This window comes from Homo sapiens, chromosome 5 (genome assembly GCF_000001405.40).
Source record: "Homo sapiens chromosome 5, GRCh38.p14 Primary Assembly".
In the NCBI taxonomy this organism is placed as follows: domain Eukaryota; kingdom Metazoa; phylum Chordata; class Mammalia; order Primates; family Hominidae; genus Homo; species Homo sapiens.
This window is the reverse complement of record NC_000005.10, coordinates 10406607-10418330: the sequence shown is the minus strand read 5'-3', so window position 1 is coordinate 10418330 and position 11724 is coordinate 10406607. Positions and strand designations below refer to the sequence as shown.

At 39.3% G+C, this 11724-nt stretch overlaps 1 protein-coding gene across 11 annotated transcripts in view; it reads right to left on the bottom strand.

Moving 5' to 3' along the window:
- Positions 1 to 11724, bottom strand: part of MARCHF6 (membrane associated ring-CH-type finger 6) — an 86694-nt gene that overhangs the window by 22058 nt on the left and 52912 nt on the right. For 10 of the 11 annotated variants that reach the window (XR_925577.3, NM_005885.4, NM_001270660.2 and 7 more), the window contains 6 exons: positions 11129 to 11229; positions 8055 to 8192; positions 6794 to 6998; positions 3829 to 3898; positions 2662 to 2843; positions 927 to 1061 (listed from right to left, as the gene is read on the bottom strand). Coding sequence is in view for 10 of the 11 variants with exons in the window: in NM_005885.4 (NP_005876.2) it covers positions 927 to 1061; positions 2662 to 2843; positions 3829 to 3898; positions 6794 to 6998; positions 8055 to 8192; positions 11129 to 11229 (831 nt within the window). In the remaining variant the exon portion in view is untranslated. Of the gene's footprint in view, positions 1 to 926; positions 1062 to 2661; positions 2844 to 3828; positions 3899 to 4903; positions 5057 to 6793; positions 6999 to 8054; positions 8193 to 11128; positions 11230 to 11724 lie in introns of those variants that run through there. The other variant, XM_011513936.4, reaches the window with a different exon arrangement.

The following is an 11724-nucleotide window of genomic DNA, read 5'->3' as shown; positions in this document are numbered from 1 at the left end:
TCAGCTCACTGCAACCGCGGCCTCCCAGGCTCAAGAGATCCTCCCACCTCAGCCTCTCGAGTAGCTGGGACCACATGCCCACACCACCACGCTTGGCTAATTTTTTGTATTTTGGGTAGAGATGGGATTTCACCATGTTGTCCAGGCTAGTCTTCAACTCCTGAGCTCAGGTGATCCACCCACCTTGGCCTCCCAAAGTGCTGTGATTGCAGGCATAAGCCGCTGCACCCAGCCAGGATACTCTTTTTAATGAATCTGTGACTTTGTGGGAAAACATGCTATAATAATTCAAAAGTATTAAAGCCTCCAAGTCAAAAGGAGTAAGACAATTCACCCTACCTCAAAGGTGAACAAAAATCAATGACTATTAATTTGTATTTTCAAGTATTAGAGAAGACTAAATGGTTAGTAACATTTTAACCTATAAAGTAAGCACTTTTAAAGGAGTTATAAGACCTGCATATTCTGAAAGATTAAAGAGCATTAAACAATTTTATAAGAGTTCCTAGAATTAAAAAAAAAATTAGTCTTTCTAAACCAGCTGCTTAAAATCACCTAAAATAATTAAAAATTATATTTTTTTCCTTTTGTCTTTTTTTTTTTTTTTTTTTTTGGACAGAGGCTCTTACTCTGTTGCCCAGGCTACAGTGCAGTGTCATGAACATGGCTCACTTCAGCCTCAACCTCCTGTGATCCTCTCACCTTTGCCTCCCAAGCAGCTGGGACCAGACGCATGAGCCAATTTTTTATAGAGACTAGGTCTTGCCATGCTGCCCAGGCTGGTCTCGAACTCCTGGGTGCAAGCAGTCCTCCCACCTCAGCCTCCCAAAGTGCTAGATTATAGGCGTAAGCCCCATGCCTGGCTAGGATTATTTTCTGATCTCAAATCCTTAATGAAATAACATGAGCAAAAGACATACATTTACCTGCCATGGATAAAAAAGAGGAGTCTGATCCAAGGGAACCCTCAGGGGAGCCACAATGACCAGCTCAAACAGGAGCCCCAGAAGGAGAGGGACAACTCCAGCCAACAGCACCGCAACTATCAAAGTCTTCATGATCTATTAGGAAACAGGAGCCCACATCATTAAAGAGGATCTTTCTGAGCCAAACTCTATTTCCATTTTGAGGTTTGAGACTGATGCCTAACAGAGCAACCACAGTCATCCCTCAGTATCCACGGGGACTGGTTTTAGGATCCAGAAAATCTGCAGGTACTCAAGTCTCTTACATAAAAAGCACACAGCTGGCTGGGCTGTTTTTTTCTCACAATCCAGTTCTTAGGACTAGGTTTCTGTTTGCCCAAGAAAAGCTACCGACTGGCCAAGGCCCCTGCTCCAACGGTGGCCCACCCATACACAGGCTGATCTGTGAACTTTGAGGTGGACTGGTATACAGGGAGGGCTCTGCACAATCCTAAAGTAATTAATAAAGCTGATCAAACTGGCTCCCTCAAAGAACAACATGGTCCAATAGAACTTACCATACTGATAGAAATACCCTGTATCTGTCAAATATGGTAGCCATTTAGCCACCTGACTAGTATACCAGATAGTGCAGCTCTAGCAACTGGACTAAATGGCAAAATGAAAATAAAGCTGACACAGAGAGGAGACATTATAAAAGAGTAATGATGAAATTCTGACCAAAAAAAAAATGATTTAAAGTGGCCTTGGATCCTCATGACCTCTCTTTTACTTCAGGTGGCCTCAGAAAACACACCTGTTTCAACAAGAGACTAAATATGATGTGTATGGAAGACAAAATACTTGTTTCTCTATATGGCACTTTCTAATAATGTGGAAGACTATCAAATGAAAACTGGAATTAGCTGGATTCTGTATTTTAAATATGGTTGTCTCATTATCTTATGGATTAAATAGCAATTATACCCCTCCATAATATATAATGAATCTCTCACTATAAAAATGGATTTTATATTTTTCTTCAACATTAATATTAAATGGATATTAAACTTCTAATGAAATCAAAATCAAAATATAAATCGATAAAAAATTAAGAGTTGATTATACAAATGAAAAGGTGTAAGCAGTAACCTAAGCATAGTTACCAGTTGCAGCCAACATTACACACATACAGACATAAATCACTGCACTCAGATAATCATCTTACAGTATTTTTTTTATCCTACATTTGTGGGAGTCATATGTGTTACTGAGAGCAATAATGTTACAAAGTGTCCAGTAAGGCCCTTAAGTAAGTAATATAAGCATGTGTAGGTGTGTGCATGCACGTGTATAAAGAAAAACATGCTACTAAATGATCCAGTAAAAATATATTATATACATATACTTTTTAAAATACAGATGGGGTCTTGCTTTGTTGCCCAGGCTGGTCTCAAACTCCTGGGATCAAGCAATCCTCCTGCCTTAGCTTCCCATAGTACTGGGATTACAGGCATACGCCATTGTGCCCAACCTGTTTTTCTTTTAAACCTCATATATCTGAACGTAGGACTCTGAACAAGAATGAACCAGAAAGCCACTATCTTGAAAGAGTATTTCTTCTAATTCAAAAAATCAACTCTCTTGAAACAATATAGTAAGGAAATAAATGTGCCAAAAAAAAAAATTTAAGATGACTGGAAAAATATTCACTATTCCTAACATACAAGATCAGTCTTGTATTACACACACATACCATGAGAGACCACTCTTTAACCTTCTGGAAGATCACTCTGCGTCCCTGAGGCATCCATGCCACCATCACCGTCACAGCCCTTATGGTTAGCCAGCAAACATAGAGACCACAAGCAGCTGTGTAGAGCTCATGGATTTTGGCAGTCCCCGTCCAAAACGACATTAACCAACGGCCAGCAAATACTGAAAATAGAAAAGCTGATAAATGAGACATGTGGCTAGGTAAAGAGAATTGTCATCTTCATGTTGTTATGTTAGTATTTTCACATTAGGAAAAAGATATCACATTCGATATATCAATGTCTTCATCAAAAAAACAAAAGACAAAAATCACAATGTCTAAAGAGTACACAATTTGATGAAATCACAACCAAAACAAGGTAAGTTCAATGGAGGCGAGCTCTACTGGGACATACACTCTGATTTGTCATGCCAATTACTTATTCTTTTAGGTCTAAAAAAGCTTTTGAGGGAATTAATGTTTTCATTGTTTTTATCACCAAATGAAACTGTTATGCAAATAATAGGACAAAAGTGGGGAATTTCTTCTCTTATTTGTGATGTCAATACTTTTAATATGTAGAAACATTACAAATAATTTAGAGTAACTATCTTCCAATTGGCTCATTCATCAAGACAGAAAACTAAGCTTATTTTAATAAGGAGTGGGCAAAATAACATTTTAAAGCACAATAATCAAAGAATACCATATTAATTTTCTTAGAAAAAGTTAAGACTATCTGAATATGCTGGAATGTGAAAAATGGATTTGAGAGCAGTCTAAGGGAGTGCCTCATACAAAAAGTTGTTCGGAATAAACTCTATAGCATCCCACAACAATCACTTGGATAAGACCATTTACATAATTTAGTAACTTACTTTATATGATTACTTCTCAATAGGCTAGAGAGAACAGTAAGACCCAAATTTCCAGTATATTTTTTCCACAGATTGTCTTCCTAATATGGTACTATACTTTTTGAATTCCTAAGTAGAGCTATAGACCTAGCTGAGGTGGAAGGATTGCTTGAGCCCAGTAGTTCAAGGCTGCAGTAAGCTATGATCATACTACTACCCTCCAGACTGGGGAACAGAGCAAGACTCTGTCAAATAGCTAAATAAATAACCTTAATGATGCTATTAGCTGAAGGCTAGCACAAGCTCATACCTGGTAAAGTAAGGCAGATGAGGCTGGCAATCAGTAATGTTATACACATGAAGACAATCAACAGAAATATCTGCAAAGTAAAACATAAGGAGTGCATAAATAGAGAACACGTGCTCAATGTATTTTATCAAAGAATCAACACAATCTTCCCATTAAAAAGAAATCATCTATATTTGCGTTGCCAGGTTTCCTGCAATTTCACATAAAATTTTTATTTTCAGTAAAATTACCTATGATTTAGGCCAAAATGAAAATAAGTATCCATTCTCACATAATCAGATACATCCCACAAGTAAATGGCAAATGTTTTAATCAGAGAGCATAAAAAAAAAACATTCACCTTAAATTTTCCCTTGTTATTAAAACATTACAAATTAAAAACATTCACCTTTTAATCAAATAACAGTGCTATCCAATTAAAATGTTCTATAATGACAGAAATGTCTAGATCTGCACTGCTCAATGCAGTAGCCACTAGGCCACATGTGGCTACTGAGCATTTGATATGTGGTTAGTGTAAATGAGTAATGAAATTTTTAACTTTATTTAATTTTAATTAAATTGAAATGTAAATAGCCATATAAACTAGTGCTCCTGTACTGAGAAGCTGATATGGTGTGACTGTGTCCCCACTCAAATCTCACCTTGAATTGTAATAATCCCCAGGTGTCAAGGGAAGGGCCAGGTGGAGATAACTGAATCATGGGGCAGTTTCCCCCATACTGTTCTCCTGGTAGTGAATTAAGTCCCACCAGATCTGACGGTTTTATAAATGGGAGTCCCTCTGCACAAGCTCCCTTGCCTGCTGCCATGTAAGACATGACTTTGCTCATCATTCACCTTCCACCATGATTGTGAGGCCTCCCCAGCCATGTGAATGCTATGAGTCAATTAAACCTCGTTCCTTTATAAATTACCCAGTCTCAGATTATTTATTAGCAGTGTGAAAACAGACTAATACAGAAGTGCAGATAAAAAGTGATCACACAGAGAAGAGGAAACCAGTTTCCCTGAGCAGAAAGGCAGCAACTGTAGCTTGCCTGCTAGCTTACCAGGTGGATCTCCACAAGACCAGAGGGCAGAGCTCTGGTGGGAAGCCCGAAAAGGACAGATAACAAAACCCAGGAGACTCTGAGGCTTTGTCAGCTGTAACTGTGTGAAAAGTCATTTTTTGAGTCTGTCTCTGATCTGGCCAGAAAGTAACTGTTGCTCAGAAGGCCTTTTTTGTCTGCGGAGAGGCGAGAGAGCTGAGTAAAGACCAAGGGGGAAAAACGGGAGCTGACTATGAGATCTGCTATTAAGAGATAAAGGAAAAGATGACCTTCATGCTTTCCTCAAGGTTATGCAGCAAAGTCCTCTAGAATAAGCCACTGAATCAGGAACAGAGATATGCCCCTCAAGGGGACAAAGGAGCAGAAGAACAATTCAGTGAGTGTGGACTCATGCAGAGGGTGCTCAAGGTGCTCCATTATCTGGTTCCTGCCCATTCAAGAGCGTTATCTCCCACCACTCCTCTTGTCCCTCACCTCTTCCCCACCTTATCCCTCACCACTCCCATGGCCCCTCATCTCTCCCCTTGTTCCTCACCTCTCCTGGACATACACCTCACCCTCTAAATATATTCAATTAGGCCAGCCGCAGTGGCTTACACCTGTATTCCAGTACTTTGGGAGGCCGAGGCAGGCAGACTGCTTGAACTAGGAGTTTGAGAACAGCCTGGGCTACATAGCAAAACTCCATTTCAACAAAAAATATAAAAATTAGCCAGGTGTAGTGGCATGCACCCATGGTCCCAGCTAATCGGACGGCTGAGTAGGTAGGAGGATCGCTTGAACCCAGGAGGTTAAGGCTACAGTGAGCCATGATCGCACACTGCAACCAAGCCTGGGCAACAGAGCAAGACCCTGTCTCAAAAACAAAACAACACAACTCTCTTATCTGCAATTCTAAGCCCACCATGCCTAATGTGCCCTAGTCCTGACATATTCCTGGAATGCCCTTCCCACTTCCTTTTTTTCACTCTCTGACAGGTCTCTCAATGTTTAAGACAGTTCAGGCACCACCTATTCTAGGAAGATTCCTTTGGGTCCATATTAAGAACAAGTGGTTCTTGATTGAAGGAGTCACAGCACCCACTGTAAACACCAGCATGAGAGCTCAAATCTGCCACTGTCTTTCTCATCTGAGTAGACTGTAAGCTCTTTCTGAGCAAAGACCACGTATGCTCTCTATATCCTCACAGACACTGAAAATATCAATCATAGACACTTAAGACATGTTTGCTGAATGACTGAACACATGTGACCCACAGTAATCTACAAAGGTATAATAATGACTATTTTTACAAAAAAAGAAATGTGAGGCTGAGAGGTTAAATAACCTGCCCAAGTTTTAAAATGATCAGACTCACAAGCCCATGTCATTATTAAAGGGCATTTTAAAATAACAGACTTGATATAAATGATGACTTCACTGTAATCATATAGCAGTCATCAGCTTACATTTCTGACAAAATTCTGAGGTGCACAAAGATTGATCACTTGCTAACGAACATGTAATAGGCACATTCTTAACCAATATTGCCTTCAGTTTCCTTAGCTATAAACATGAAATTATCGCCTACACTTTGCAGTATTTGAGTGGAGATTAAATGAGAAAACATCCAAATGCCCATTCTAGTTCCTGACACACTGTTGAAATGTATCAATAATGTTAGTTTCTTAATTACTCTAGAGTCTTTTCCTCTTAAATAGGGAGCAAGAGCCCAGGGAATCCCAACTCTTTGACTTATCTCTAAAATTTGATAAACTTACCTAATCATTTACGTTACATAATGAGGGTAATAAAATGTGGAACATGTCTACACAGAGGACTGCATACTAATAGCACCAATTCTCAACAGCAATTTGGAGAACAAAAAAACCAAAAAAACCTCTATATGTGATTAAGTCTGTATAGCACCTACCCTGAGTGGAAAATTTAAAGGTCGGCGGTAAGGCTGAAAGCCAACAGGCCCTCCCTGCTGGAGTATGGCTTGGTGGGCTGCATGAAGGCCTTCTCCCACCACAGGAATAGCGTTGTTATTTCGAGCATGCTGATTATTGTTAACTTGTTGATTTGCACTGTTTTCATTTTCTTCCTGGTCTCCCAATAAATAAGAATGAAGATCCCTGTGCAAAAATTACATCAGTAACAAGTCTCACTTCAGGTCACAATAAAATGGCAGACATGACACTCATTTTCTTCATATTTACTACTAAGGGTAGAAAATGTATAATACAGAATTTGTGCACCACATTATTACCTAATTTTGGTCTAAATGTTTGTACCCACTTTAAATCAAACCTTTCTAATGTTAATGAACTTGTAGGATATCCCATAAATTCAACCTATTTTACGTTTTCTTCAGCCAGTATCTGAGAAGAAATCAGTAACTGAAAGAAAAAAGTACAATGTACAAGATACTTACAAGTACACTTGTAAGTACAAGAGGTAAGTACTTACAAGCACAAGGTGTAAGTACATACTTACAATGTACAATATTGTTAAGGATCTACAGGAGGAAAAGAAAAACTTCTTATCTTCTCTACAGATGACTACTGCAACATGTAGCTACAAGCTATAAATTTGTAAAACCTCCAAGCTATAAATCAGTTAGGTCAGAAATGAGACTGGGGGAGGAAGCAGTTAGAGGACGACAGATGTTCAAGCAAATATAACCAAATCTGTACTTCACCTTTAAGATACCTACAAGATGCCAAACTGAAAAACTTTTAAAGATTCAACTTTTAAATAAATATAGAGTATATAAAGCTTGGGGAAAAAAATGCAACATGTTCACTAGAAGATTGAGAAATCAAATTTGAGAAGAACCCATTTCCCAGGTTATGAGCACTAAATAAAGGTAAGTTAGTTGGTCTAAATAAAGGTAAACTGGTTTGTTTTTAATGCACTAAAAAAAAAAAAGACATTTACTCCATGAAAGCTGGACCAGCAGCAAACTTCTATAAGAGGGCAAAAAGATGTATATATTCTCCATGAAAGGATGGACAATAAGAAAAAAAAATTTCATTTAGAAGTATTATATGCAATTGCAAATATTACTAAATTGTCTCTTATTAAAACTAATTTTTCTTGAGTGGGCCATGGAACATACTTTTTCCAGAAAGGTTATTCCATAGTCACAAATGACATGCATGTCCAAGGAGTCAGCTGCCCATACTCACAGCAAGTATCCGGCGGTCACAGTCCACGCTCGCACCAGCCCCTTCAGCCACTGCCTCGTGTGTCCCTGTTCGAGTAATGCTGGCAAGACAACCTGAAGCAGAAGCAGCTCGAGGGACAGTTCACTCACTGGAGCATCACTGAAAGAGGCAGGATTTATAATGTGAATTGTATTTTGCATATGACTACTATTTAATGGGATTACAACGCAACTTCTTAAGAATCTAATAAACTTACTGTCTTTATTACCTCTCCTTTCATTCTCTCTCCAACTCAGTGAGGCTTTCCCCACAAACTCCACCAAATTGTTTCTGATAAGGGTCACCAAAGACTTTCATTTTGCTAAACTGATGGGTAGGTCTTGGTTCTCTCCTCACTTGCTATATTAGTAGCATGTTACACAAAAGGTCACTCCTTCCTTTGACACCTCACATCCAAACAGCTAGAGAATCCTTTTGACTGTACCTTAACAATATCCTAAAAATTTCTCAAGGCCTCCACTGCTACCTCCCCTTCATCTCTGCCACCCTCACCTCTCACCAGGATCATTGCATTATCCTCCCAGCTGGCTTCCTGTTTCTGACCTAGCCACTCCAACCCAGTTTCCTCTCATCACAGCAGTCAGAATGATCCTCTTTAAACCTAAGTTAGATCACTCCTTTGCTCAAAGCTTTCCAAGAGCTCCTCAATTCACTCAAGCAAAAGCCAAAGTGCTTATGTCGTGTAAGACTCTCTAGGAGGTGGCTCTCCATGACCTTTCTGACTTCAGGGCCAATTCTTTGCCTTCCTCCTCCTACTACAGACAAACTTGCCTCCCTGCAGATCCTCAAACAGACCTGGGTGCCACTGCACCTACTTTCTGCAAGAATATTCTGCCTTCAGGGATCCACGTGGCTCACTCTCTCAACTCCTTCAGGGCTTTCCTCAACTGTCACCCCCTCAGGTCTTTACCAGTCACTATTCCTAAATTGTAACCCCATCCTGCCCACTTTCTATACCCTTACTGGCATTTTTTCTGCCACTTTAAATAATCAGGATATAAGTATTTTCCAATTCTAATTTAATAAAATACAAATTTGAGATTTTACTATGTGTAGAGTAAACCTTTTATTTTTGAACAATCATGTTCCTATGCAAAGCATTAAGATCCAAATAAGAGGCTGGGCGCAGTGGCTCACACCTATAATCCCAGCACTTTGGGCGACCAAAGTGGAAGGATTGCTTGAGGCCAGGAATTCAAGACCAGCCTGGGCAATATAGTCAGACCCTGTCTCCACAAAATATTTTTTTAAATTAAAAAAAGAGAGACAGAGAGAAAAAGACCTAAATAAGACATGATTTCTGCCATCTGGGATAAAACAATACATATTTGTAAAGTAATGTAACAAATGCTATAAAAAGAAATACAACGATGAAGACAATTTTAAAGGATGGAATGATGGCCAGGCACAGTGGCTCATGCCTGTAATCCTAACATTTTGGGAGGCTGAGGCAGGCAGATGGTTCAAGCTCAGGAATTCAAGACCAGCACAGGCAACATGGTAAAACCCGGTCTCCCCAAAAAATACAAAAATTAGGCAGGTGTGGTGGCTTGCGCCTGTAGTCTCAGCTACCCGGGACGCTGAAGTGGGAAGATCACTTGAGCCCAGGAGGTTGAGGCTGCAGTGAGCCATGATCATACCACTGCACTACAGCCTGGGTGACAGAGCGAGACTCTTTCTCATAAAAAATAAAATAAAATTTAAAAACCTTAATCTGGATTTTAAAAAGAATATCAAATGCTTGCCACTCAAACGTGGACAAGCAAGTCATTGTAAACAGAGAGAAAAAGACAAACAGCTAAGTAATCAGGGGAGCCTCAATGGCAGTGTAGCACAATTAAAAGAATTGAAGTCAGTCAATGCTGAGACAAGACACTGAAAAAGCAACATGAGATTATGCCAAGTCTTGCATCTCATTCTAAATGGTGTATATATCACATAGATTACAGAGGAAGTGCTGCCAACTTTTAAACACAGGGGTAAAATAATCCAAGTTCTAGAAAATCTAGAGGCAGAGGTGTTGCGGATGAATGGAGAGCAAGAGGAAGGCCTAAATTAAGTAAGTGGCAAATCGAGTTAGATTAGTAAGAGATTTTAAGAAATTAGAATTGGCAATACTTTAAAGACTCATTAGAAGTAAACTTGAGGAAATAATCCAATTTGCCTGCAATTGGGATAATGACTGTGGGGATAATACAAATCCCTAAAGAGCATATAGGATGAGTGGTAAAGATTACTGGTAGTGGGAGGTTTCCGGATGGCTTTTTTTTTTGGGGGGGGGGGGATGCAGTTTCACTCTTGTTGCCCAAGTGGGAGTGCAATGGCACGATCTCGGCTCACCGCAACCTCTGCCTCCTGGGTTCAAGCGATTCTCCTGCCTCAGCCTCCCGAGTAGTTGGGATTACAGGCATGCGCCACCACGCATGGCTAATTTTTTTGTATTTTTAGTAGAGACAGGGTTTCTCCATGTTGGTCACGCTGGTCTCAAACTCCCAATCTCAGGTGATCCGCCTGCCTCGGCTTCCCAAAGTGCTGGGATTACAGGCGTGAGCCACCACGCCTGGCCTTAGCCCACTTAAGTTTTTAAAGCAAAAAAGATGTTCCATCTACAAGCCTTGTACCCTATTTTTAATAATTAAATGTGCAACTCTGGCTTTATTCTTTATAATGTGCTTTTCAAAATAAAGATGATGCTAATACACTCTCATTAGGTATGGTAAAACATTTCAATGGTGTGCAAATGCATACTTTATGCGCAGAAAAAATAAACATCTTCCTTTACAAAATGTAAGTACTAATGTTTATCTGATCTAAAATAAGGCAAAATTTATGCAAAGTGGAAAAGGTCCAGAAAATTTTTTAAACATTAAATTTAATTTAAAAAATAATAAAAATAAAGGTAAAATAAAGCAAAATTTAATTGTCAGATGATTTCCAGTAACTATAAGAAATGTTTTAAATGTTTAATGTAATCTGAACATCAAATCCCTAATAGAGATAAATTAGTAAAGCTATTCTAAATTTTTAAAACTTACCTGTAGAGCATGACATTGTATGGAAGAAAATTAGGCAGCACACTCTTAATTATACGTATAGGAAGCCAAAGCATCAGGAGGACAATGGAGCCAAAGACAATCTGCAGAAGGAAACAGGGTATGACACCACTATAAGAGTCAATCACTCCTGTGCAAGACAGGCAGACTTCTGAGCACACTCAAGCAATATGCAGTCCAGGCCTGTGTCTACTCAAAGCCCAAGCGGTTCCCACTCTACACATTATCTTTGAGTCATTTTGTATAAAAATGTTTTCCTAAGATGCCTGCCCCTCTTCCTGTAAGGACCTCCCATCTAGGACACAAATGCTAAAACGGAAGCCACAAAGGATAATCACCACTTGCTACCTAAGGAATGAGCTGGAAACTTAAAATGAGGAAGCAGAAATGCCTGCAACTTAATAAATCACTTGTAACCAGCTAAGACTTGCCCCATGTTAATGGCTACAAAAGCTTTCAAAGGACATAATGTTACTTTAAGAATTTTATTTTAGAAAAACTTAGATTTACGGCTGGGTGAGGTAATCCCAGCACTTTGGGAGGCTGAGGTGGGCGAATCACTATGTCAGGAGTTCGAG